This window comes from Homo sapiens, chromosome 7 (genome assembly GCF_000001405.40).
Source record: "Homo sapiens chromosome 7, GRCh38.p14 Primary Assembly".
Taxonomy (NCBI): domain Eukaryota; kingdom Metazoa; phylum Chordata; class Mammalia; order Primates; family Hominidae; genus Homo; species Homo sapiens.
In genome coordinates, this window is record NC_000007.14 from 30,262,810 (window position 1) to 30,288,642 (window position 25,833).

The following is a 25,833-nucleotide window of genomic DNA, read 5'->3' on the forward strand; positions in this document are numbered from 1 at the left end:
ACTATTATAATCATCCCTTACTTATAACTGTGGAAATTGAGTCACAGAAAGATTAAATAACTTGCCCAAAGTAACAAGGCTAATGACCAGCAAGGCCAGAGCTTGAATCCAGGCAGCCTGTTGCAGAGCTGACATGTTGAACTAACATGATGTGTTGCTTTTTTTTGTCTATACAGTTAGGGCCATGGCTAGAGGCAACGTGTAGACCCAGTAATCTGTTGGGATCCCTCCATGTCTCGGATCCTTGGGAATGTCCCTGAGTTTAGATCTACTGTTATGCTCTATATCAGACAATGAAAAACACAGTTCTAAGTCCTTAGCTTGGGAAACTCTCATAACATTTGGCTTAGTGAAGTCAAATGGTACAAAATTCAAAAGTAAAAGGCACATGGTATAAAGTCTTACTTCAGCATCCAGCCATCTAGTTCCCTTGCCCGGAGATAGCAAATGTTAGCTAATGGATCAACTTTGAGCAAATTGTTAACCCAAAACTTACCTCTTTATCATCCAAGACAAACACTGCTTCCATGCCCCACCTCCCATCTGTGCTCTGACTTCCTGGCTGGAGACAGAATTCTCAATGAAGGAGAGAAACAGAAGTAGTTTCTCTTCAGTGCCAGCCTCACCTTCCCTTCCCTTCTCTTTACGTCTCCCCTCCCCTACCACTCCTGGGTCTTTCTTTCCCAACTCAAACTATCACCACTTTACACTACACTAAAGGTATCCTCAGGAGAAGGTTGGGACATCTGCTTTAACTTCCACAACTCCTTTGCTACCGTGACTATCATTCTGGGTTTATCACCAATTAACATACCACTCACGCTGTGAAGTATAAGGGCTGGTGTGGCTGGACCACCAAAGAAGACTCATTTGCTGTAATATTCCTAAACACAGAAAGAAAAAAAAATAAGATTTTCTTTCTCTAAGTATTCTAGTACTAAACCTTATAGCTACATATGTACAGGAACAGAGAGATATCAGGACATGCTATTGATCTCATTTGCAAAACCCCAAAATAATAGCAACAACAAACTAAGCATGCACACATTGACTAGCAGTTTAAACTGTTAACAGTGAATATGTTACTTACCAACTATTTTAACTTTTAATAAGAAGCATGAATTTCATATATATACACATATATATGTATATATGATTTTCAGATCGCAGATCTTTTCTCCCCTTTTTATTGTGGTAAAATAACATACGCTTTACCATTTTAACTATTTTTAGTTAGTTGTTTGTTTTTAACAGAGGTGGAGTCTCACTATGTTGCCTAGGCTGGTCTCAACCTCCTGGACCCAAGCACTCCTCCCGCCCTGGCCTCCCAAAGTGTTGAGATTATAGGCATGAGCCACTGCACCCAGCCTCAACTATTTTTACGTCTACAATTCAGTGACATTAAGTATATTCACAATGTTGTGCAATAGTCACCACTATCCATTTTCATCATCCCAAACAGAAACTCTGTATCCATGAAATAATAACTCCCCATTCCTCCCTCCCCAAGTGCCTTACAACCTCGATTCTACTTTCTGTCTCTATGGATTTGTCTATTCTATAAGCTGCGTTATGCAATATTTGCTCTTCAGTGTCTGGTTTATTTCACCAAGCACAATGTCTTCAATGTTCACCAATGTTGTGATATATATTAAAATCACATACATCCTTTATTTATGTAAAAGAATTTTCGTTCCTTTTAAAGGCTGAATGATACCCAATTTTATGTATATACTACATTTTAAAAATCCATGCACTTGTTGGTTGGGTTGTTACCACCCTTTAGCTATTGACAATAGTGCTGCTATGAAATGGGTGTAGGAGTATCTGTTTGAATCCCTGCTTTTAATTCTTTTGGGCATATACCTAGAAGAGAAATTGCTAGATTCTATGGTTTATCTATGTTTAACTTTTTGAGGAAACACCATACTGTTTTCCATAGCAGCTGCACCATTTTACATTCCCACCAGCAATGGACCAGGGTCCTAATTTCTACCCATCATCATCAATCCTTTTTTTAAAAAAATAGTTACCCTAATGGGTGTGAATCTCATTTTTTATCCCTTACCCCCCTTTTTCTCCAAGTCCCCAAAGTCCATTTTATCATTCTTATGCCTGTGCATCATCATAGCTTGGCTCGCACTTATGAGTGAGAACATACAATGTTTGGTTTTCCATTCTTGAGTTACTTCACTCAGAATAATGTTCTCCAGGCACGGTGGCTCACACCTGTAATCCCAGCACTTTGGGAGGCTGAGGTGGGTGGATCACGAGGTCAGGAGATCGAGACCATCTTGGCCAGCATGGTGAAACCCCATCTCTACTAAAATGCAAAAAATTAGCCAGGTGTGGTGGCACGTGCCTGTAATCCCAGCTACTTGTGAGGCTGAGGCGGGGGAATCGCTTGAATCTGGGAGGCGGAGGTTGCAGTGAGCTGAGATCACACCACTGCACTCCAGCCTGGTGACAGAGCAAGACTCTGTCTAAAAAAAAAAAAAAAAAAAAAAGGTCTCCAATTTCATCCAGGATCCAGGTTGCTGCAAATGCCATCATTTCATTCCTTTTTATGGCTGAGTAGTATTCCACGGTGTGTGTGTGTGTATCACATTTTCTTTATTCACTTGTTGATTGGTGGGCATTTGGGCTGGTTCCATATTTTTGCAATTGTGAATTGTGCTGCTATAAACATATGTGTGCAAGTATCTTTTTTGTATAATTACTTCTTTTCCTCTGGGTAGATAGCCAGTAGTGGGATTGCTGGATCAAATGGTAGATCTATTTTTAGTTTTTAAAGGAAATTCCACACTGTTTTCCATAGTGGTTGTAGTAGTTTACGTTCCCACCAACAATGTTAAAGTGTTCCCTTGTTAGCACATCCATGCCAGCATCTATTATTTTTTGATTTTTTTTATTATAGCCATATGAGTTTCATTTTTTTCTCTTCCTGAGACGGAGTCTCACTCTGTTGCCTGGCTGGAGTTCAGTGGCGAGATCTCGGCTTACTGCAATCTCTGCCTCCTGGGTTCAAGTGATTCCCCTGCCTCAGGCTTCTGAATAGCTGGGACTACAGGCACACACCACCACGCCTGGCTAATTTTTTATATTTTAGTAGAGACAGGGTTTCACCTTGTTGGCCAGAATGGTCTCGATCTTCTGACCTCGTGATCTGCCCACCTCAGCCTCCCAAAGTGTGGGGATTACAGGCATGAGCCACCGTGCCCGGCCTCATATTTTTCGTAAAAGGTGTGATGGTCAATTGTGTCATCTTGACTGAGCCATGGGGTGGCTAGCTGTTTGGTCAAACACTATTGTGGGTATATGTGAGGGAACATCTTAAGTCCTGGGCTTCCACAGAGACAGTTTCTATTAATTGCTTTTTTCCTGTGTATTGGCCATACTCTTTTGTTTCTTTGAATGTCTTGTAATTTTTTGTTGAAAATTGCATATTTAAAATGCTATAATGTGGCAACTGTGGAAATTAGATTCTCAGCCTTCCTCAGGGCTTGTCATTGTTGCTCTTAGTTATTGTTTGTTTAGTGACTTTTCTGAAATAGTCTGTAAAGTCTGTATTCTTTGTCATGTTTGGCTGCTGAAGTCTCTGTACAGTTAGTTTAGTGGTCAGGTAATGATTGGATACAGATTTCCTTAAATATCAGGGACTAATGAGCTTCCCAGTTTTTGCAAAGGGGTTCTGTGAGTAAATTGGGGCTAGCCTTCAACACTCAGCCAGGGCCTTGACAATTCTGTTTGAGCCTTCACAGCCTGCCTGCACACAGCTTCAAGGATATGTTGCACAGAGGTGAGAACTTAGGGCCTTCTCAGGTCTTTCCTAAGCATCCACACAACCCTGGGCTCATGCACAGCCCTCTGCAGGCATGTGGCCTTCTAGCTTTCAGGAATATGTCAAGTTCCTACAGCCATCTCATTCCCTGGCTTTTCCTTGAAAGCTTTTTGGTTAGCCTATTGTTTGCCAACTAGTATCCACTACTTCAGGCACCCTTGAAATTAAATGGTTGCCTCCAAATGTTTTGAATAAATGTCCCCAGGGAAAAGGGTTTTTGCACCGGGTGATCTTCAGATCAAGTAAATCTGCAATTAAAGTCTTGCAATTAAAGTCTTCCTGGGAACTCCCAGAGAGGGCAAATCCTGACAGATCTGTGGGAATGAGGTTTTGAAGGAACTCTAATACTACTGTGCCTCCTCCAGTGGCTGCCAGGCTATTGGCTTTCACTGTGATTGTGGGCTGTTGATTTTCAAGGCTACCACAGAGCTGGAGGAGGTGGGTGATGGGAACAGGGCAAGTTAAGCTTGCTGCACTTACTGAGATTCAACCATTTTTCTGGAATAAACACTCCCTGGATTGCTGCAAGCCTTGGGTTAATTTACAGAGTTCTGAAAAAGTTGAGTCTCATTATTTTTGCTGGTTTTCTCACTGCTTTCCTAGAGGAGAGAAGTTTTGGAGATACTTACATTTTTGCCAACAATATCCCAATGAAGTGTTAATGGGGAAAGAGAGTGAGTTGTGTGAGAAAGCAGTGCTGGAGTTACTGTTAGAGGTGGAGTCGTTTCAAGTGATGACAGGGCCCAGGGTAAGGCCAGGGGAATGGACACCTGGAATGGAGTGCAAGCGAAGGTCACTGCTGCGGGAGGGGGCAGGCAATGGATGTTCAGGCCAGACTGATGGGAGGGTGTCCACATGGAGGCTGAAATCCTCCAGGACCAGGATACTATTTGAGGGGAGAAGGAGACTGAACCAGGTGTCTAAGTCCTCCCTGACTGCAGGAGTGACCTGAGATTGATGGATGATGGCAGTGTCAGTGCTGGGAAATGAATGTTGTCACATGCATAGCCAGTATGGAAAACAGTGGCAGAGATATTCTGAAGACTGAAGAGGACCAGTACATTTTAAAAGAGAATTATGATATGTAAATAGATATCTTATACCAAGAAGGGAGAATTGTTGTCAAATTAACTAATGTGGTCTACCAATAGGGAGGATTGTTGTCAATTAAATGAATATGGCCTACCAGTAGAAAAACTTTAGTGCCAACAAACTATTTTTACTTATCTCTCCATGCATCAGGAGGTGAAGGTAAGAACTGCAGCCCTCGATAGATGCATCTTCTTGTCGTTCACCCTCTGTCTTCATTCTTGTTCATCTTTTTTTTTCTTTTGAGACAGGGTCTCATTCTGTTGCCCAAGCTGGAGTGCAGTGGCATGATCTCGGCTCACTGCAGCCTTGATCTCCACAGTTCAAGTGATCCTCCCACCTCAGCCTCCTGAGTAGCTAGGATTACAGGTGTGTACCACCATGCCTGACTAATTTTTTTTTTTTTTTTTTTTTTACATTTTGTAGAGACAGGGTCTCACTACATTGCCAGACTGGTCCCAAACTCCTGGGCTTAAGTGATCCTCCCATCTCGGCCTTCCAAAATGCTGGGGTTACAGGTGTGAGCCACCACACCCAGCCTCTCTTCATTCTTTAAGGGAGTCTCCTTTCTCTGAGTTTATATTACCTGTTTTATCTCTGAGTTTACATCACGTTAGGGACCACAAGTCCCTGTTGCTGGAGATGACCCACCATGAGGATCAGATTGGTGACCTGCATATCTTTAGGCCAAGGTTAGTGAAGGACTAGAGAATCCCGGAGAGCCACACACTGCCTTTATTTTTGGAAAGCCATATTTTCTGCAGGCTCTGAGGGTACTGATTTAGTCATCTTTGGTCTTACACACAGAATCATGAGTATTCATTATGTAAAATTCTTTTAATCAATCTTTTCACAATGTATAATAGCTGTGATCATCAAATTCTAAGCTATAGCAGCCTACAACAGCAATGTGTAAAAAGCTCTATACACTGAAATGTCCTAACTGGGCCGTCGCCAAGTTATGTCTGAATACAAACCAAGACATCAAGATTTGGGGCTGGAAAACTCACTCTCAGTGTAATTTCTTAAAGCCATCATCACTTGGATTCAACTCTCATGACTGTGAAAAGCACTTCAAGTTCAGCTCTCAAGACTATGAAAGCAGAACCCAGGGGACCCGCGGTGGATTCAGCTGCCTTTTCTCTAATTTTCCAACCACGTGTTCACACAAGACGTAGCAGTAAACAGCATGAGGAAAATCAAGCAGGGAAACCTTGCCTCCCCATCAAGTTGCTATAACTCCCTCTCCTGCCTGTCACTATTAACCTCTGGAAAGAGTGGCCTGTAATTGCTATCTAGTACTCATTCCCATGCAGTCTGCAACATGCAGTGGCCTGTCTTCCATCTCCACCACTCAAAAAAGATCAACACTGATGGATGCTGTGCTCAAGAATGATGCCAATCTTCACCATTCCCTACCTGTTTGCTACTTTTGACATCGTTGAATGAATGACCTTCATCCCAAAAACTTTCCCCTTCTTTCACCCTCTGGGATACCTCTCCTCTATTTTTCCTCCTACAACTCTGACTCCACCTCTTCCTTCCCTGGCTCCTCTTCCTCCACCAGCTCCTTGCCATTTCCTCTAAGTCCATCCTAGGTTTCATATTGTCTCCCTCTTTACCATCTCTCCTTCAGTATTTGGAGCAACTTCCACCTAGTATCCTAACGACCTAATCTACATGTTCAATCCACACCTGTGAGCTCTACGCCTCCTGTTCTAATTGCCTACTGGATGCTGACATACATATTTAGCAAATATCTCCAGCTCAACATGCCTCAAATTATACAAACTGTTTCCCTAAAACCTGTTTCTCTTCTTGTCTTCCCAGCCCCATGGCACCCAGGCTGGAAGTGCAGAGTCATCATTAGCTATTCTCTCTCTCTGTCTGTCTCCAAGTTCAGTCTGTCTTATTTCTTACAAAACCAATCGTCTATCTCTCTCCTCTTCATTCCCACTGCCTTCCTAGCTGTCTCCTTGACGGCAGGAACTTCCTCTTTTTTCCAATCCACATTGCTGCCAGAATTCCCTCTACAATAAACAAATTTGATGAGTGTTAGTCCTTAGAGGTTTCCCAAAGCTAGGTGACTGTATGCCTCTGTTGGCCTGGAACAGTGCTGTTTTCTGCTGAGTGTTTGGTTATTCTATCTGGGTAGCATGCCCATTAACTCTCAAAAGTGGCGCATTTGGATGATGAATTATGTGATCAGCCTATCACAGAGTGACAGGTTAAAATCCAAACTCTTTCACCTGGCATACAATCTGTCCCCAAGCTAACTTTCTAGTGCCATCTTCTTCCATCCTGTTTAATTGCCATTCCCCAAACACGCCAGCCTGTTTCCCAGCTCACTGTCATTGTTCGTGCTGTTCTCTCTTCCTGAACACCTTTCCCCCATTTGCCACTTCTCAAATCCTCCTTAACCTTCACTGCCCAGCCAAGGTAGCACCTCTTATGTGAAACAGCATATCCTGTCTGCCCCATTCCCATCTGTCAAGAGCCTCCTCTCCATCCCCTGCTCCCCAGTGATCCTGTAGTGATTTGTTCAACTCTCTGTCACGTATTCTACTTTGAATCTGGTACAATACCTGGCACATTGCAGGTCCTCAAAACATTTTGAAGGAGAGGCTTTCAAGAGGCAGGAAGCCAGGAGGTTTTTTTTTTTTTTCTTTTTTTCCCGGCTGTCTCTGATTAGAATTAAACGCTTTTATTTTCGATATGGGACTTGCTTGAGAAAATCCAACATATCAGAGCCAAATCTATTTCTTCATCTGTAGAGTAATAAGGAGAATAATTGCTGCTGCCAAAAGCTACCCATGTGAACTCAATAAGGTAATAAAAACAAGCCCTGCTGTTGAAGTAGAACGTATTGAAATAGAGAGTGAGATGAGCCTCCCATCCTCTGTCATCTATCCCTACAATCTGCAGCCTGTGTGGTGTGGGGGGCAGGAGAAGATTCTGAGAACTGGCAACTGGTTAAATAGAAAATGTACCTATGGGAGGGAACAATGATTTATCCCAATACAAATGAAACTAATTTGAGGAATAACCACTTATTGAGCATGCACATGGATCGAACATTGTGCTAAGAATTTTACATATAGTTTCTTTATCTTTCCAATCTTATAAGGAGATTGATGGATATTATGATTCCCCATTTTACAGTGCAGGAAACTGGAGCTCAGAGAGGTTAAGCAACTTGCTGATATAGTTTGGCTCTGTGTTCCCACCCAAATCTCATGTTGAATTGTGATCCCCAATGTTGGGGGAGAGACCTGGTGAGAGGTGATTGGATCATGGGGGTGGATTTCCTCCTTGCTTTTCTCACAATAGCGAGTGAGTTCTCACAAGATCTGGTTGTTTGAAAGTGCGTAGCACTTCCCCCTTTGCTCTCTCTTCCTCCTGCTCCTACCACATAAGACTTGCTGGCTTCCACTTCGCCTTCTGCCATGATTGTAGGTTTCCTGAGGCCTTCCCAGACATGCCTCCTGTATAGCTTGCAGAGCTGTGAGTCAATTAACCGTCCTTTTTATAAATTACTCAGTCTCAGGTAGTTCTTTACAGCAGTGTGAGAATGGACTAATACACTTACCAACAGCACAAAGCTAGTAAGTGGTGGAATTGGGATACGTAATAATAATGCTAATAACTCACACATGCGTACCACGGTGTCCGTGGTGTTCTGCTCAGTTCTCACACCCACCCTATGTATTATATTATGTTATATCTCCATCATCAGATGAAGGCAACTTTAAATAACTAGCCCAAGGTCACATCACTAGGAAGAAAGGGTGCCAGGCAATTTACTCCAGTAATCATATGCCTGGTCACTACCCTTGCTCTCCTCCAGGTCTGTCTGACTTTGCTATCTCAGCTCTTTTTATGTAGCCAGAGAATCCATCAGATGGCTCTTCCCTCCTTTCTCAAGATGTGGTCAGCAGACCATCAGCATCAACATCACCTGGAAGCACATTAGAAAGAATCTTGTGCCCCTACTCCAGGTCTAGGGAGGCAGTATCTGCATTTTCACAAGATCCCCAGGACCTGGTCTACATCAGTCACTTTCAATCTCATCTGCATATTGGACTCCCCTTGCGGAGCTTTAAAGAATCTGATGCTGGTTGGGCATGGTAGCTCATGACTGTAATCCCAGCACTTTGGGAGGCCAGGCCAGGGAATCATTTGAGACCAGCAGTTTGAGACTGGTCTGGGCAACATGGCAAAACCTTATCTCTACTAAAAATACAAAAATTAGCTGGGCGTGGTGGCATACACCTGAAGTCCCAGCTACTCGGGAGGCTGAGGCAGGAGAATCGCTTGAACGTGGGAGGCAGAGGTTGCAGCGAGTTGAGATTGTACCACTGTACCCCAGCCTGGGGTACAGAGCGAGACTCCTTCCCCACACCCCCTGCCAAAAAAAAGAATCTGATGCCTGGACACCACTGACAGTGCTTCTGCTTTAATTGTCCAGGTACGGTTTGGGTATTGGGCTTTTTAAAAGCTTCCCAGGGGATTCTGATGTGAAGCCAGGTTGTGAACCACTCCCTTAAGCAAATACACTGTTGCTTGCCTCCTTCCTTCACTCATTCAAGTGCACTCTGGCACAATTTGCTGGGGAGATGGACGATTACAATATAGTATTATAAGTAGTATGTTAAGCACCATCCCAAAGGCCAGGGGAGCCCAGAGGAAGGCCTGAGGCCAAGTCAGATTGCCTGGAGATACCAGATGGGACCTCAGGCTCAAGGATAAAGAGGAGTTCTTGGATTTGTTGAGGGCTATGTTGAGCAGGGTGGGAGAAGGGAGAGTTCTATGCTCATTACCAAAGTGAAATTCATAGAATTTTAAGGTGTAATAGATTATAGAGATTGTTGAATGAATCTAATGGTTTTCAAACTTTTTTTTTCTTTTTTTTTTGAGACGGAGTCTCATTCTGTCGCCCAGGCTGGAGTGCAGTGGCACCATCTCAGCTCACTGCAACCCGTCTCCTGGGTTCAAGAAACTCTCCTGTCTCAGCCTCCCGAGTAGCTGAGATTACAGGTGTGTACCACCATGCCTGGCTAATTTTTGTATTGTTAGTAGAGGCGGGGTTTCACCAGGTGGGCCAGGCTGGTCTTGAACTCCTGACCTCAGGTGATCTGCCTGCCTCGGCCTCCCAAAGTGCTGGGATTACAGGTGTGAGCCACCGTACACAGCCAACTTTTTTAAAAACTATAACCTATATTAGGAGAAATATTCTATGTCTCAGCTCAGAATATATATAAAGTTTCATAAAACAATGTTTAGCTTCACTAAATTCCATGCACTTTGATATTTTTATTTATTTATTTTGTATAGATGACGCCTTACTATGTTGGCCAGGTTGGTCTCCAACTTTTGGCCTTGAGCCATCCTCCCACCTCAGCCTCCCAAAGCACTGGAATTATAAGCATGAGCCATTGCATCCAGCCTACTTTGATATTTTCTAGTCTTTCAATACTATGCTCTTTTAGAAAAAAAAAATACTGGTCATGTTTAGCTGGATTCATTTTCCACTACACTAACGGGTCACAGTGGGCAGTTTGAAAGACCTGGACCTTATCCCTTCAATGTTTCCTTGAGGAAACGATGACCAAGAATAGCTACATGGCATGGCCTGAAAGAGTAAAGAAAAGTGTGTCTGAATTACAGTGTGAAGGACTGGTGTTAGAGACGAAAAAAACCTGTATGGCATTGGTTGGTGGATACTTCAGAGGGACTTGCCTTCCGGAGAAATCCTACTCATTTTTCTGGGAAGTAAAGATAACAGTCCTGTAGAGAGGGCAAGATGATAAATTAATAAATGAGGTATCTGGGTCATTTCTAGGCCCACTGGATATATCAGTATTACTGAGTGAGAATTGTCAGTTTAGCTGGGGTTTGGGCCCTCTTAGAACCACCTGGGGCCTTTGTCTAGTACATATATGACTTCCAGCCATTCTGATATGCACCCTCCCTCTTCAAGAGCCTAAGTTTCTGCTGATAACAAGTCTTACTGAGGCTCGAGCTGATGGGGGTATATCCTATCTCTCCAGTATGTTGGGGCAGGCAGGGAAAACAAAGGTGAGAACTGCTGATCTCTTGAGCAACAGTTTCCAACATTTTAGATTTCACAGGTCAGTAAAAATTCAAAAACAGTTTAGGAATCAACATCAGGGTGCCAATATTTCTTTGTCCCAAAAAACGAAATCTACATTTAAAAAGGAAGAAACAAAAAACCAAATACTCCCCAAATCTATGGCCATCTACAACTATCATAGGGTAGGAAGGATCTAATCTTAGACTAAAGATAGTCTTGTGCATGAAATACATTTAACTTTTTATGGATAACAAAGCTACTGCACTGTCCTAATTTTTCTTATTTCACTGTGAGCACCTTATTACAGACTGGTGCTGGTCTGTAGACCAGTGCCTGGAATTACTGCTCCAACAGATATAAACTTCTTCCTGAGGCTATTCATTCTTCCAATGCGGAAATTTGTATTCTTTATGTCTTGACTGACATGGAAGACAATTATTTTAAATCATAAAAATATCCATTAAGTTGTCTGGAAAATTATACACAAGCCATTAGCTAGATTACATTAAATCTAAAAAAAAGACAGTTCTTATTATTTAGTTTCTCAAGGCATCACCATTTCAAATTTGGCCATAGATGGCTATCATTCTAGTATTGAGCACTGAAGGTAACAGGCACTTGCTTCCTTCTTTCCTCTGCATGATGACTGAGTTTGCCAAAGTCCTAGAGAAGCTGGCCTCACTTTCCAAAACTCTCGTTCCTCTCAAGTTCATATGTGTCAAGCTAAGTAAATTTTCTGCATGGTGGGACTTATTTATTTATTTTTAATTGTTCATCCTGTTTGTGAGCTCCAGAAGAAACTTTTTTTTGCCACTGAAATTCATGAGTTATTATCAAATAAACATATATGAACATTTAATTCAGTATAAAAATCCTGCTGTATTAAAATGAAATCCTAATTGTAGCCGTCATTCTCCTTATTAATATTGGTCTAGACAGTATTTTTCACTTTTTCACCCCATCATTAGCAGTTGGGGGAAGTGGTGTTAAGAAACAGAGCAAGATTTATTATTAGTATGCCACCTGTTAAAAACTGTACTGGAGAAACCAGCTACGTGTACCTCTAAACGTACTGAAATGCTATGTTTTACCAGAGAAATTCTAGGTCATTTCTAATGCCTCCCCAGAATGTCAATGAATCACTATTTCAATTGATTACAAACTCTAAAAAGTAAAAACTCATCATTTTCAAAACCTTTGAATTTGCTGTTTGTACAGGTCAGGTCTGGAGTGCCTTCCTAAAAGTTATTTATTTTCCCCTTTTTCGCTTGCTTCACAGAAGCAACTGAATTCTGTCAGTGTTTTTAGCTCTCTCGTATATTTCTGAGAGTCAAAACTGCCTTAGGAGGTTTTTTGTTTTTGTCCTTTCTTTGCTAAGTCTGTATGTTTTTAATGCAGCACATGTTATTTTCTTGTCTGTATGATTTGCTTGAAGGTTTTGATATTTACATATTATGAAAGAAAATGTCCAAAGTGTATAAAAAACACATTCCTTGTAAAATCTGATTATTTCCTAATGTTCAGGTCTGTTTGTTTCGATGTGGAGGTTGTAGAAGTTTTTTGGCATTAGTATTCTAAACAGTTTAGTATTTGTTCATGTGTACATTTTGCCTATGAGAACGATGTGAAAACGTATCTGCATCCAATCATTTGATCAGTCCTGCAAAAGCTTCTTCCATTCCTACTGTTACTGATGCTGTCCAGCCTTCATTATTTTTTTAATTGAGGTAAAATAGACGTAACACAAAATTTACCATTTTAACCAATTTTAAGTGGTTTAGTGGCATTAAGTACATTCATATTGTTGTGCAGCCTCCTCATTCTTTTTCACCTGGGTTACTGCAACAACCTTAAAAATGCAGTCTTGCTTCTAACTGTGCCGCCATTAAGGAAGGAACTAGAAATCGTATCTCTGCTGACTTATTTTCATTGGTGTATAGAAGAAAAATGGAAAGACAGAAGAAGCATTCTCTGTCATTTCTTCTGTACCTTAGACTTCTGAGTTGCTGAAAATGAAATGCAGACAGTGTTCTCAGGGCCTAAAAAGGACAAGTACCTGCTGTACTGGTTCCATCCCCTGCTGCAGATCATTCCTTGCTCAGGACATTTCAGCCCAAGCATTTGTTCTGAGAACATATAGAAAATAAAAAAATTCACTTGGCATTAAAGGGTCTGGCCACTGCAAGCACAAAGAAGCTTTTAGCAGTAAATTCTATAGCTTTAAAATGTGCTGAAATGATCATTTCAAAAATTAAGAGGCAAAACTCTTAGATGGCCAAACTAAGTTTGTAAGTGAAACATAAAGAAGCCTGAACTGCTTTGGCCCCCACCAGGGCAGCTGAAATTGGCTGGTGTGCACTGAGTCTTCAAGCCCTCTTGGGGGGCAGTAGATGCATCAGAATTGAGGAGCCCACTGCTGCAAATAGCTTCAGTTGGAGCCTTTGGCAGTGCAGTTTTGTATCACTAGATGTCAGTGTGGACTTTCCCAACCTCCGCCTTCTTGCCTTTGCAGGAGGTGGACTAGACATCACTTGGGGGCCTTCCTCAAGTCCTGGCAAACATAAGGCTATTTTCAGAACTGTAATTTCACCAAATATTTTGTCCACCTACATATATTGACTTTTAAGAGTTCTAGAAAATACAAACAGAAACTTTGAACCAAAGGTTGTTCTTTTTAATGCTGTGCCCTTCTAATCTCAATGCTTACATTTGGAAGCCTGCTTACAAGGATGTTCCAAGGCCAGCAATGGAAAGTTCCATGCGGTTCTTTTGACAGCAGCATGCTAGCCCAGATACCTGCAGGCCTAGCTTCAAGAAAGCATGGCTCCCTACACTACCAGGGCTCAGGAGTGAGGGCAGGAAGTCAAGAAGAAGTGTATGTGATTAATGCCGGATGTGGTGGCTCAGGCCTGTAATCCCAGCACTACAGGAGGCCGAGGCGGGTGGATCACCTGAGGTCAGGAGTTTGAGACCAGTGTGGCCCACATGGCAAAACCCGGTCTGTATTAAAAATACAAAAATTAGCCGGGCGTGGTGGCACACACCTGTAATCCCAGCTACTCGGGAGGCTGAGGCAGGAGAATTGCTTAAACCCGGGGGGAGGAGGTTGCAGTGAGCTGAGATCGGGCCACTGCATTCCAGCCTGGGGGACAGAGCAAGACGCTATCTCAAAAAAAAAGAAAAGAAAAAAAAAGAAAAGTATATGTGATTAGCCACATAGGGATTTAGTGGCCATATTTATCAGATTTTTTTTCGAAGTAGTTTGTAATCAGCTGCCTTCTGAAACCTTAAAGAATAGTCATTGTATTAGTTTTCCCATTGCTGATGTAACAAATTATCATAAATTCAGTGGCTTAAAACAACACAAATTTATCTTACTGTTCTAGAGGTCAGAAGTCTGAAATGGGACTTAAGTTGACTCACCTAAAATTGAGGTGTCAGGAGGGCTGTGTTCTTCTTGGAGTCTCGGGGAGAATCCATCTCCTTGTCTTTTCCAGCTTCTAGAGGCCACCTGCATCCCTTGGCTGGTGGCCCTCTTCAGGCTTCAAAACCAACAATAGCCTTGAGCGTTTCTTTGAACCACTCTGACCCTGCCTGCCCCTTTTACTTTTAAGGAATCTTGTAAGCACCCTGGGACCACAGAGACCACCCAGGTCTAGCTCCCTATCTCAAGATTCTGAATTTATTGACAACTACAACGTCTCTCTTGCTTCAGTAAGGTAACATATTCAGAGGTTCCAGGGATGAGGACATGGACATTTTTGGGTGGGCAGAGGCAGCACTTTTCTGCCTACTACAGTCATTACTTTTAAAGTAATATATGATGCAATTTTTCAGGTATGAATTTTTTAACAAACTAATTCAGTGTCACAAACAACTGTTTCTACTGGAGACTATGTTGGAAAATAACAAGGGCTGCATTTCCCTCGCTCATGGAGTGATAACAATGAAAATTAATTTGCCACACCCAGCATTCATATTTGGTCACCTTCCAACTGAACTGAGCACTAACTCCACTCCTTTGTTGACCCCTGTGCTCAGGGTGTCCATCCCCAGAACAGCACTGAGCAGGCACAGGGTGAACACATACAGAGAGAGCTGGAGACGTGATTCCCACACCAAGAAACACTGAGCAAAGTGAAATCCGGTGCGCTGAGGGACCAGACTAGGGTAACCTGTGCATACCCCTGTGCAAATTCAACATACAGCTGGAGGCCTAAAGCCAACAGAACCTAACCCCATGCCTTGCCATAACTACAAGGCTGGTTTTGTTCTGCCTACGTAAAGCTGAATTCAGCTCCCTCTCCTCAAATGTGCTCTTTCCCCCATAGTCCTACTTAGTGCTAGGACCAGGGACTATCTGTCCCTGGTCATCTTGACTCTGTCATCCTTGACTCTTCCTTCTTGGTCACGTAGGACATCCAATTGGCCTCCAAGACCTGCGGTGGCTGCTCTCTCAAGAGTTTTAGAATCTGCCCTACCACCACTCTAATTCAGGTTCTCTTCACTTCTTGCCTGGATGACTACGTTAGCCTCTGGACTAGTCTTCCACTTCACTGTGCGTTCCTCCCTCCCATCAATCCATTCTCCAAAATACTGCTGGAGTTGTCTTTCCATACTGTAAATGCGATCCTGCTACTTCCCTGTTTGGGAAAGTGGTTCCCTTTTGCTTTCTGGATGAATTCCAACTTCTTAGCTCAGCACACCAGGCCGGTTACATGCAGCTTTCCAGCCTATTCTCTCACCCTCTCACCTGTTACTCTTCATTCCAGCTATAATTAACTGCTTGAAGTTCTTCAGCTGCTCAAAGCTCTCCCTTGCTTCATGCTCCCTCAGCCTGGAATGCCTATGGGTGCTGAAGCCAGAAGTCTCTCAAGACTCAGCCCAGCGTCCCTTCTCAGACTACATCTTTGTCCTTCACCAATCCCCATCCCTTCAGTCAGCTCCAGTATGCCTTTACCACATGGTACTCTGACCATCTCTTCATTTCTATCTAAGTCCCTTGATTAGAAGCTATAAGGTTTTTGAAGCTATATGGTGTTTAGTTGGTTTAACTTTACATCCCCAGATGCTCAGCTACTCTGTTTAAAGAATGAAAATATCTCCATTGGGGGTCCTAAGTTATTCCGATGTTTCCCTGCACCAGGTATGACCCAGCTCAGGGCTATGTTCCAAAACCTACCCAGTTTAGACTTGTATCCCTAGAGTTCAGCCAGAGCCCAGCTAACTTCTGGGAAACAGAGGGTGGGGTAAATTGACCAGGAGCTCTTGTTGCTCTATCTTCTCATGGTGGAAGAAAGGCAGTTCTGCAACTATGACCTTACCCTTTCCAACCTGGCCTAACTTGGGGGCGTAGATCATTCAATAGCAACTCAAAGGGAATTGGCCCCCTAATGCACAAACTTGCCCTGGCTGAACAGTGTAGAAGGCAGCCAACTTCACACACAAACTTAATGTGGTGACGACAGTCTGTTAAGTTGGTAGTAATTCCGGACATGCATTAATCACTGCTGCCTGTCCTTAGCGAGCCATAGCTGTTACTCAAAGTCTCTTGCATATAGATTGTCCTTGAGCTCTCTATAAGCAGGCACTCTGGAGAGTTAAAAATAAAGCAGAAATAGAGTTCCTGTACTTGGGAGGCTTAAACAATCTAGTCCTAAAATGTAGGGCTTGCCTTTACGGGGGCTTTTGACTAACTTTGAGGGAGGAAGTGGTAAGGGAAAATGTCTTATAATACGTTTTAATCATTCATGTACAACAGTCATTCACGTACAGTATTCATGATTTAAGCAAGTGACAGGAGGCAGTTTGGAGGGTGCATCTGCACTGGAGGAGGGACCACATGCATTATGTAGCAGAGGGCTATTTTTTCTCCAAGCTAGTCTTCACTTCCGTAGGCTGGGAAAATCCCCTTGGTACCGACCCCATGATACATTTTTCCACTAAATTTTATGTCTTTTCAACAGTATGTCCCCAGTAAAGATCTTGGATTCCTTTCAAAACACTATGTATGGAATCTGAGAGTTTCCTTTATAATGGAGTAAAAGCATCATGGGTTGTGGTTGGTTGGTATTAAGGGTTTTTAAATTAGGGCTCTTACAGATAAAAAAAAAAACAACGTTTGAAAGCCCAAGTGAATTAATTGAGAATAGAACACAATATAAATATTTAAGCTCTTAGTAATACTACATACCATTTTGGCAAGCAAAAATTATTTTTATTAGCAGGTGCTGACATTATATCTCAAGCTGTTTTTAGAAAGGAAAATGATTCTGGAATCTATGTTAAACATAGCCATAGGGCTCCAGTCATTGATTAATTAACATGAAATACTTTTGTGACACATTTAAGTCTATTTAGGACCCAAAGACTCTTTAGTCAAAGTGTTAACTACCCTGTGGAATCAAAAGAAAAAAAATGTTTAAGAGTTTAAATATTGGAGATTTCAAATAGGTAGTCTCTGATATCTTAATGATAATTTCCTTTCAAATTTCATCTATCTAGCTATCTATGAGTATATGTACACACACACACACACACACACACACACACACACACATCCATCCATCCCATGGTGGAAAGATATAGATGTGTCATGACATATCATACTATCATCATTATTATAGCAGTGATGTAAATACTTATTAGTAAACTACTACTAACGAATTATTACCAATACATCCTTATGCATCAATAATGTATTAAAATTTCACAAAATGGTAAAATCAATTTCATTGAGTATTAGTATATATTAAACTGTACAATGTCACAACATGCTAGAGATGATATGGAAATTATTACAATCTGCTAGGGATAATAACATTGAGATTAAAATTTGTTTCTCTATTAACACATTTGAAAGTACTCTCAAATAGAGAATGAATCTTTTGAGAATCATAGCCACTCTGTGAGACTGGTATTGCTATATGATCATCCATGTTTTACAGAAGGAACAGGTTTAGCCAGGTTAAGTGGCTTGCCCTAAATCCCACAGCCAGTGTCAGACAAAGCCAGGGCCTAACCCCAGCTTGAGCTCAACCACTTCACGGCATGTACTTTTAATCCTGTCATGATTGGCTCTTGTCTTTTGCTTCTCATTAAAAAACTAATACAAGTACAGGGGAGGGAGGATAAAAATTTGTTAAAGACATTACATAAACTTTTGATGTTTTCTGAACAATTACCCAACAATGTGACTCCTAAATACTACAAACTAAGATTTTGAATTTAAGATGTAAGTTTCTAATCACCACTAAGATCTTGGACAGTGTATGTAGGATGTATTAACACATATGTAGGATGTATTAAGATTCATTTTAATGTTTAGATGGTCCATTTGTTTCTTTAAAAAGCAAAATAATAGGAAAATAGGCCTATTTAAAAATAGGCAATTATACATATAGTCCTATTTTGGTAGAGATGAGGTAGTGTATGAACACTTACTTGAAAAAAAAAAAAAGCAAAGCCATAACCATCTCTTAAATCCTATAACAAGGGGAAAAGTGGGATGGCAAAACCTTAGCAAAATGTGTAGGGCTACTGCTGGCTGCAGGACAGCCCTGTAGAGAGGCTGTGGTCCCCGACCAAGAGGACTAATGGGTGTCACTATGCAAATTTGCTGTCCCACACATCAAAGGTCTGATCCAGCAGAGTTTTAAAAGAGAAACCAAGAGAGGAAAGAGGAATGCAAAGGAGAGTAAGGGAACACAAAGGGAAGAGGCTTGCCCCAACTAAACTTCAAACTAGACAACAACAAACTGATTGGTCAGGCATTTTTATTGAAAGCCCAGAAGTAGCTTACCTGTTCCAGTGTGAGTTTGTGGACAATAATTTTGTCAATGTGAAGTGCTTTAACAATACATTCAGACTAATTTTGCACCCCCAAAGCCTTTGGTCAAAATATCATTGAACTGCATCAGGAGGAATATAGTGTATTTTAAAACCTTCAAATTTGAAAAATTTTAAAGAGCTGGGGCTCTGGTCTCTTGATAAGTGGTGAAGGCATTAAAACAACAGTTCTGATTGTAGAGGAAAGCGTCATTTAGACCAGTGCTTCTCCAAACAAGAGTCCGAAGTCTGATGGCAGCAACATCACTGGGCAGCTTGTTAGGATGCAAATTCTCCAGGCCCAACCCTGAGCTATGGAATGAGAATCATTGAGGGTGGGGCCCAACAGCCTGTTTTAACAAGGTTTTCCTGTAATCCTTGTGTGTGCTAAAGTTTGCAAAGCACTGATTTAGACTACTGTTTATCAAAGTGCAGATTACATCCCCATAGGGGGGTGTAAAATCAATCCAATAAGCAGTGACCAGCATTTTACAAAAGTGAAGTCAAATAGAAAGCAGAGTGCATTTCAGGTAGCATGGGTATTATCTCAAAAACCCGTTGCAGTTCTACATGTGTGTATACCTGTGTGTACTCATTTGGATGAAGCAGCACTTTTAATTTTTGAAGAACTGGTAGGTATACTAAAGACGTGATGGCCAGGCATGGTGGCTCACGCCTGTAATCCCAGCATTTTGGGAAGCCGAGGCGGGTGGATCACAAGTTCTGGAGTTAGAGACCATCCTGGCCAACATGGTGAAACCCTGTCTCTACTAAAAGTACGAAAAAATGAGCTGGGCATGGTGGCACGTGCCTGTAACCCAGCTACTCTGGAGGCTGAGGCAGGAGAATTGCTTGAACCTGGGAGGCAGAGGTTGCAGTGAGCCCAGATCGCACCACTGCACTCCAGCCTGGTGACAGAGCGAGACTCTGTCTCAAATAAATAAATAAATAAATAAGCGACACATTTTCAACGAAGTCAGAACTGTTTGGTTGACAATAACACACATTGACAGCTTCATGCTGGTGACTGGAGAGAGATGAGAGGGGTGAGGAGAGAGGAAAGAAGGCCAAGGAAAGAACATAGAAGGCCAGCATTTTATCTCCAGAACCTTCGTGGGGAAAGAAACAAGGCTCACCAGAGAGGAGGTGGAAGGGGCACCCACCACAAGCGAAATGTCAAGGAGAATAAGAACATGATAAGTTAATGAGTGACATTCAAGAAAGAATCGTTTTAGTACAACTGGTGAGGATACATGTATTCACTCACTCATTCATTCATTCATTCACAAAACATTTATTGCACCATGGCAAGACCAGACACTGTGTTAAACACTGGAGGTACAGACATGAAGTTTATCATGGAGCCAATTGAGTAGTGACAAGCAAGATATCTAATAATAATAATAACATGATCAGAGCTATGAAGGAGGTATTGTACAGCACTGAGTGGGAACACTGAAGTCAGTCTGTGATGCTGGGATGGGGGAGGAGGTGGCAGGAAACATCTATAAGGAGAGGGCACTTAACCAAAATGATGACCATATCTTAACATGATACTGCATATAAAGCACTGGGTACCTTTGTTTTTCCATGTATATATGTGTGTTTGTGTACACAGATACACGTCTTTATATGTATACATATATTCTCCATTTGTTTAAAAACTTGATTCCCATACCCTAAGAGTGATGAAAATCATTACATAAATGACTTATTGCAAATAGTGAAAAGATGACAAAGTATTTCTGTAGTTTTATAAAACACCACTTGCTATTATTATTTTCAAGTAGAGACTAGACATTTTCATAATGGGAGTCTCAGAGCAGGCTGTTCCCTGGGTATCCAGACCCTGCTCTGCCGTGAAGAGACCACACCAACACTGAGGAAGGCACTGAGGAGAATTTTATTACATTTTAGAGAAGTTATAGGATTTTAAAGAGGCAGGTGCCCTAGGATTTAACACAAACAGTTCAGGTAAGAAACCTAAAGTCGGCCTGGTGCGGTACGTCACGCCTGTAATCCCAGCACTTTGGAAGGCCGAGGCAGGTGGATCACTTGAGGACAGGAGTTCAAGACTAGCCTGGCCAACATGGTGAAAGACCGTCTCTACTAAAAATACAAAAATTAGCCAGGCGTGGTGGCACGTGCCTGTAATCCCAGCTACTCTGGAGGATGAGGCAGGAGAATCGCTCGAACTCGGGAGGCGGAGGTTGCAGTGAGCCGAGATCACACCATTGCACTCCAGCCTGGGTGACTGAGCGAGACTCCGTCTCAAAAACAAAAACAAAAATAAACCTAAAGTCCAAAAAAGTAAAATAATTTGCTCACTACAGATAATTTAGTTTGGTGTTGGGCCTAGATTCTAGGTTTTGTGAGTCAGGTGCAGCGTTCCTGGCACCACAGTATTTGCCCTACCACAGAGGGTCAACCTGGATTATCCCGAGTTCTTCCAACTCTGCGCTTCCTCCCAGGTTGGTGTTTCATGAGTAAGTCTGAGATCAAGCTGGCTTTTGAGCTTCTGTTTTTTTTTTTAATCAGTGTGTAACACCAACACCCACCGAAACCAAACGGCTCTGGGCAGAGGACACAGCCATTCACGCCCCCTGCCAGGAAAAGCTGCAGCTGACACAGGCTCCTACAGCGTCGGCGGGCCACGTGCGGGAGGAGGGGCCGCCTTCTGGTTGGCGCCCGGTGTCCGTTCCTCCTATCGGCGTAGGCCCCGCGAGGAAGACAAGGGCGCGCCCTGGCTGGGAGGGCGTGGCCAGAGACCTGTCCATCACCGAGTCCACGAGTGGCAGCACCTACCACACCGCAGTACCTTGGCGAGGCGGAGCAGGGGCAGGCAGGTCGCGGAAGGGGGAGGCGGAGCAAGGCCGGCGGGAGCCAATCGGCCTGGCGGCACGAGGGGGCGGGGGCGGGGTCAACGCGCGCGACCCAAACACACGGGCCGGGCGCACCCTGCAGCCGCGCCGCTCCGCGGCCTTCCGGCGCGGGGCCGGGGAACCTCCTCCCCATCTGCGCACCCCCCGCCTTCGCGGCCCAGATCCTCCCGCCAGCCCGGCCCCTCCTTCGCAGGGGGAGCGAGGCGACGGTTGCCGGGAAGCGCGCGCCACCTCTCCCTCCCATTTTTCGTTCTCCCCTCGCGCGCCACCCGTTTTTCCTCTTTCTCCGTTAATAACAGCTGGGTGGCTGGGGGAGGAGGGAAGGTGGCCCCGGCGGAGTCTGGGCGGGCGCCTCCCACTCAGCCGCCAGCCGCCGTGGGAGCCGGAGGATGGCGGCGGTAGCAGCGGCCGCCCGAGAGGAGGCGGTGCCGAGATCGGGGGCGCCGAGCGCGGCAGCAGAGAGCGGTAGCGGCCCGTCGTGGCGCACCAGAACCGAAACCAGCGGCAGCCGCACGGCCACTTGAGCCGCCCCTTCCTGCTGGAGCCAGCGAGGGGTGCCTGCAGCCGGGACCCCTTCCTCTCCGCGTCTCCTCGTCTCCCGCGCCCGCGTCAGGCCGTCGGCCTCGCCCGCCGCCCCAAGAAGAGCGCGCCGGGCGCCGACTGCCCCTCTGGACGCCGGGCGGCGGCCCTGGACGTGCGGGGGCCTCTCTGGGCCGGCCGCGGCGCCTGGGCCCTGCCCTCTAGCTCCCGCGCTCGCTCCCGCCCTCCCGGCTCTCGGGGCGCAGCGCGCGGGCCCGGCCCGGGGCAGGGCGGACATGGGCGCCAAACAGAGCGGCCCGGCCGCCGCTAACGGCCGCACGCGCGCGTACTCGGGCTCGGATCTACCTTCCAGTAGCAGCGGAGGCGCCAATGGGACCGCGGGCGGCGGCGGGGGCGCTCGGGCCGCCGCCGCGGGGAGGTTCCCGGCTCAGGTGCCCAGCGCGCACCAGCCCAGCGCCTCCGGCGGCGCCGCGGCGGCCGCGGCGGCCCCGGCAGCCCCGGCGGCCCCGCGCAGCCGCTCCCTCGGCGGGGCCGTGGGGAGCGTGGCGTCGGGGGCCCGCGCGGCGCAGTCCCCCTTCAGCATCCCGAACAGCAGCAGCGGCCCGTACGGCTCGCAGGACTCGGTGCACAGCAGCCCTGAGGACGGCGGCGGCGGCCGGGACCGGCCGGTGGGCGGGAGCCCCGGCGGGCCGCGCCTGGTGATCGGCTCCTTACCAGCTCACCTCTCGCCGCACATGTTTGGAGGTACGGACCCCTCTCCGCGCACCCGCGCTCGGTCCTCCCGCGGCTGCACGTGGGCCGTGGCCGCCGGCTATTTTTACCCTTCTCCTTTTCTCCTTCTGCCGGGGCGCCGGGGGCTGCCTCCCGGACCAGCCCGCGTCGGTCTCCATCCTGGAAGAAACCCGGCGCTTAACACCGGCGGTGCCGCTACCGCATAGACGCGTGGTTTTGTTTTTAAACATCCTGAGCACCCTCACCTCAGCGGCTGCCCAGTAGAGAAAGTCTATTTTCCAGTGAGATGACTGGAGCAAATGTTGTTTTACAACAAACCGACGAAACAGCCCTTGTGGTTGTGGTTTTTAGTACCAGGAAGTCAGGAGGAGACCAGTTGCTAAATGTAGTTCTATCTGGGGACTCGAGTGGGGAACAGTTTTTAAAGGCCAAAAGTCAAAGCGTCTCAAATGAACACTGAGTTACCATGTTTGGACCGACTTTTAGTATAAAGCTGTAATCCTGAAATCTGTGTCAGTAGTCCCAGTTACTATGTCATTTTAATTGGATGAATGCGTTAATGAAAAGTTTGTTTTTAAACCTCACTAAACTGCTACTTAAGATCACAGTTAATGTGAGTCCTGCTTAATTTGGAAAGCATTTAAAAAATGGAAAAGTTTCTTAAGGAAGTAAAAATTTTGCACATCTGTCTTCAAGGTACAATAATTGGCTAGGTTCTTTTGAAGAGCAGTGTTGACTAGAGTTAAGGAAAAGTCAGTTGTGAAAAATGGACATTTTTAATAGCAAAGTGATGTACTTTACTACAGAAACAGGAGGAAGTGTGCGTTGTCCTGGGGAAAATGAATCCTACTTCTTCAGTTATGTTTTATGCTGATCTACTTTATTGCAAAACGCTAATAGTAAATGAATCAAGACCACCTCCCCTCTCCCCTTTATGAAAATAAATAGAAGTATAGAAGATAAGCATTCCCATTTCATCGCATTATGTATCTGGTATTAGAAAAATTAGCAACTGAGCACAGATGAGCAGCGAAAACACGATCCCCTACATTTTTGTGCCGCTTTTACTTATATATTTGTAAACGTAGGAACTTTGGAGACTTAGTAAAGTGGAATACGTAGTAATTTATCCGTTCTCATGTTCTGTACTATCAGCACACACGCCAGCATAAATTAAAAACAGGAATGTCATGTTTCATTTTTCCCATTTTTTTAGTAACGCTTTGCAAATTCAATTGGAACGACGCTTGACTTTTAATTAGCTACCTTGTTTTAAAGTAATTTTTGCTTCTTAAAAATATTCATCCCTCTTAAAATTGGGCTATTTTTAAAAGTCATTTGCTTTTGATTTTGAGTAAAAGAACTCTACTGGTGTCCTTAAAGTGATTTGATCACAACTAACCTAACAGTTGAAGTTGCTGTAGTCCGCACTGAAGAATATAAAAGGCAGTTTCTGAGAATTGGTGATTAGTGCGAGAATGAAGGGCAAACTGGTTTTTAATGTTTATCATTATCTTTTTAAAGTGAAAATTTGCATTTAGCAATTATTAGAAGATGAATATTTAAGTTTGCTAAAGAAGGGTGAATAGGAAAAGCCTTGTCAAGTTAATAGTTAATATTTATTTAATATGCTGATTTCTAAAAATTCATTTTCTAAGAGCTGATAATTCCCTTTGAGAAACATTATAGTTCTGTGGGTTTATTTTGTTAAGTAAATGCATTCTATTCAGAGCAAGAGACAGTTGAGCCCCATGCTATTCCTAGTAAGTAAAAATACCTAGTTGCTTAAAGTTGGAGATAAAGCATTTATCTTTTTTCTTATCTAAGTTCTAGATTTGTGCACTCATTATAGTTCTTTTAGTGCTGTTGGGGTTGGGTGACTGGGGCCTAGTAGTACAGTGACACTTTCTGAGGAACTTACAGCAGCCTTTCTCACCCGGCTTTCTGGAGACAATTGTGCCGTAGTGTGCAATGAATTTTAACTTTTAGCTCCAGTGCATTTAGAACGGTTTTAGTTATGTATCATTCTTGGAACAATTGAGAAAAGTCACTGAAATAATTTCCTGTGTTTGGTGATTCAGATGAGGAACCTCAGTTGAGAATTGCTGGAAAGACATCAGAGAAATTACCTGTTCTTATTATATGACAGGATCAGATGAAAGTGCCACATCCTGAAATCTCTGTTGAGGCAGGGAGATGGAATACATTTACGTAAAAACCCATCTTAGTGGCATTGCCTTACTGAGATTTTTACCTATATTTTAGTGGACGGGTTATTAGGAAAACAATAGAAGCATGTTTCTCATCATCTTGAGATTTAGGGAGCTAAATGAAGAATCTTATAATTAAAAAAGACTTGACTAGTTCACATTTACTTAACTTTTTAGTATCTATTATAACATTATTGTGTTTATTCAGTTACAAATTGTATAAATGGTTATATACAAATAACTGCATCTGAAAATTGATAAAAGGATTATTTCAGAATTAGTGGAAAGTTCGTATTGTTTTTTGTAAAACTGTTGTTTTAATTGTTGTTTATATTATTAACGTCTCCTAATAAGAAAATGTGGTACTAATAAGATTCAAAATTATTCTCTTGTGAGCTCTCATGTAATTTATAGAAAATGAAAAACAGTCCCCCCCTTTTATTTTTAACACTTAAGAGTCTAGCAAGTGGAATTGTTAGTAGTTCTCTCATAATGAATTGCCACATTGAACGAGGAAGTTTTCTGTGTTGGTTTTATGTTTTGATGTCATTTGGACATCTGTTTTGGCTATATACACTCTTATTCTCTCTAGAGAACTGGAAGAAAAATGCCTAATCC

The 25,833-nt window shown here is 43.6% G+C and overlaps 1 protein-coding gene and 2 long non-coding RNA genes across 7 annotated transcripts in view, besides 7 other annotated features; 2 read left to right on the forward strand and 1 right to left on the reverse strand.

The window, feature by feature from the left end:
• LOC124901607 (uncharacterized) overlaps positions 1-21,445 on the forward strand; it is a 95,727-nt gene extending 74,282 nt beyond the window's left edge. For both annotated transcript variants that reach the window (XR_007060273.1, XR_007060274.1), the window contains exon 3: positions 21,390-21,445. This is a non-coding gene — a long non-coding RNA (uncharacterized LOC124901607). The remainder of the gene's footprint in view (positions 1-21,389) is intronic.
• LOC105375218 (uncharacterized) overlaps positions 1-23,276 on the reverse strand; it is a 38,659-nt gene extending 15,383 nt beyond the window's left edge. Inside the window, exons 1-2 of the long non-coding RNA NR_136267.1 lie at positions 23,251-23,276; positions 815-884 (exon numbers count right to left, since the gene is read on the reverse strand). This is a non-coding gene — a long non-coding RNA (uncharacterized LOC105375218). The remainder of the gene's footprint in view (positions 1-814; positions 885-23,250) is intronic.
• Positions 16,541-16,660: an enhancer, noted in NCBI's record as "active region_25809". NCBI's record gives its function as "activates an Ori minimal core promoter by ATAC-STARR-seq in GM12878 lymphoblastoid cells {active_cell/tissue: GM12878}" and the evidence as "EXISTENCE:reporter gene assay evidence [ECO:0000049][PMID:35858748]".
• Positions 18,581-18,640: a silencer, noted in NCBI's record as "silent region_18060". NCBI's record gives its function as "represses an Ori minimal core promoter by ATAC-STARR-seq in GM12878 lymphoblastoid cells {active_cell/tissue: GM12878}" and the evidence as "EXISTENCE:reporter gene assay evidence [ECO:0000049][PMID:35858748]".
• Positions 21,634-22,063: a silencer, noted in NCBI's record as "silent region_18061". NCBI's record gives its function as "represses an Ori minimal core promoter by ATAC-STARR-seq in GM12878 lymphoblastoid cells {active_cell/tissue: GM12878}" and the evidence as "EXISTENCE:reporter gene assay evidence [ECO:0000049][PMID:35858748]".
• Positions 21,788-25,833, forward strand: part of ZNRF2 (zinc and ring finger 2) — an 83,093-nt gene continuing 79,047 nt past the window's right edge. For all 4 annotated transcript variants that reach the window (XR_007059991.1, XR_926925.3, NM_147128.4 and 1 more), the window contains exon 1: positions 21,788-23,017. Coding sequence is in view for 2 of the 4 variants with exons in the window: in NM_147128.4 (NP_667339.1) it covers positions 22,549-23,017 (469 nt within the window). In the remaining 2 variants the exon portion in view is untranslated. The remainder of the gene's footprint in view (positions 23,018-25,833) is intronic.
• Positions 22,074-22,123: a silencer, noted in NCBI's record as "silent region_18062". NCBI's record gives its function as "represses an Ori minimal core promoter by ATAC-STARR-seq in GM12878 lymphoblastoid cells {active_cell/tissue: GM12878}" and the evidence as "EXISTENCE:reporter gene assay evidence [ECO:0000049][PMID:35858748]".
• Positions 22,204-22,593: a silencer, noted in NCBI's record as "silent region_18063". NCBI's record gives its function as "represses an Ori minimal core promoter by ATAC-STARR-seq in GM12878 lymphoblastoid cells {active_cell/tissue: GM12878}" and the evidence as "EXISTENCE:reporter gene assay evidence [ECO:0000049][PMID:35858748]".
• Positions 22,674-22,753: a silencer, noted in NCBI's record as "silent region_18064". NCBI's record gives its function as "represses an Ori minimal core promoter by ATAC-STARR-seq in GM12878 lymphoblastoid cells {active_cell/tissue: GM12878}" and the evidence as "EXISTENCE:reporter gene assay evidence [ECO:0000049][PMID:35858748]".
• Positions 22,904-23,033: a silencer, noted in NCBI's record as "silent region_18065". NCBI's record gives its function as "represses an Ori minimal core promoter by ATAC-STARR-seq in GM12878 lymphoblastoid cells {active_cell/tissue: GM12878}" and the evidence as "EXISTENCE:reporter gene assay evidence [ECO:0000049][PMID:35858748]".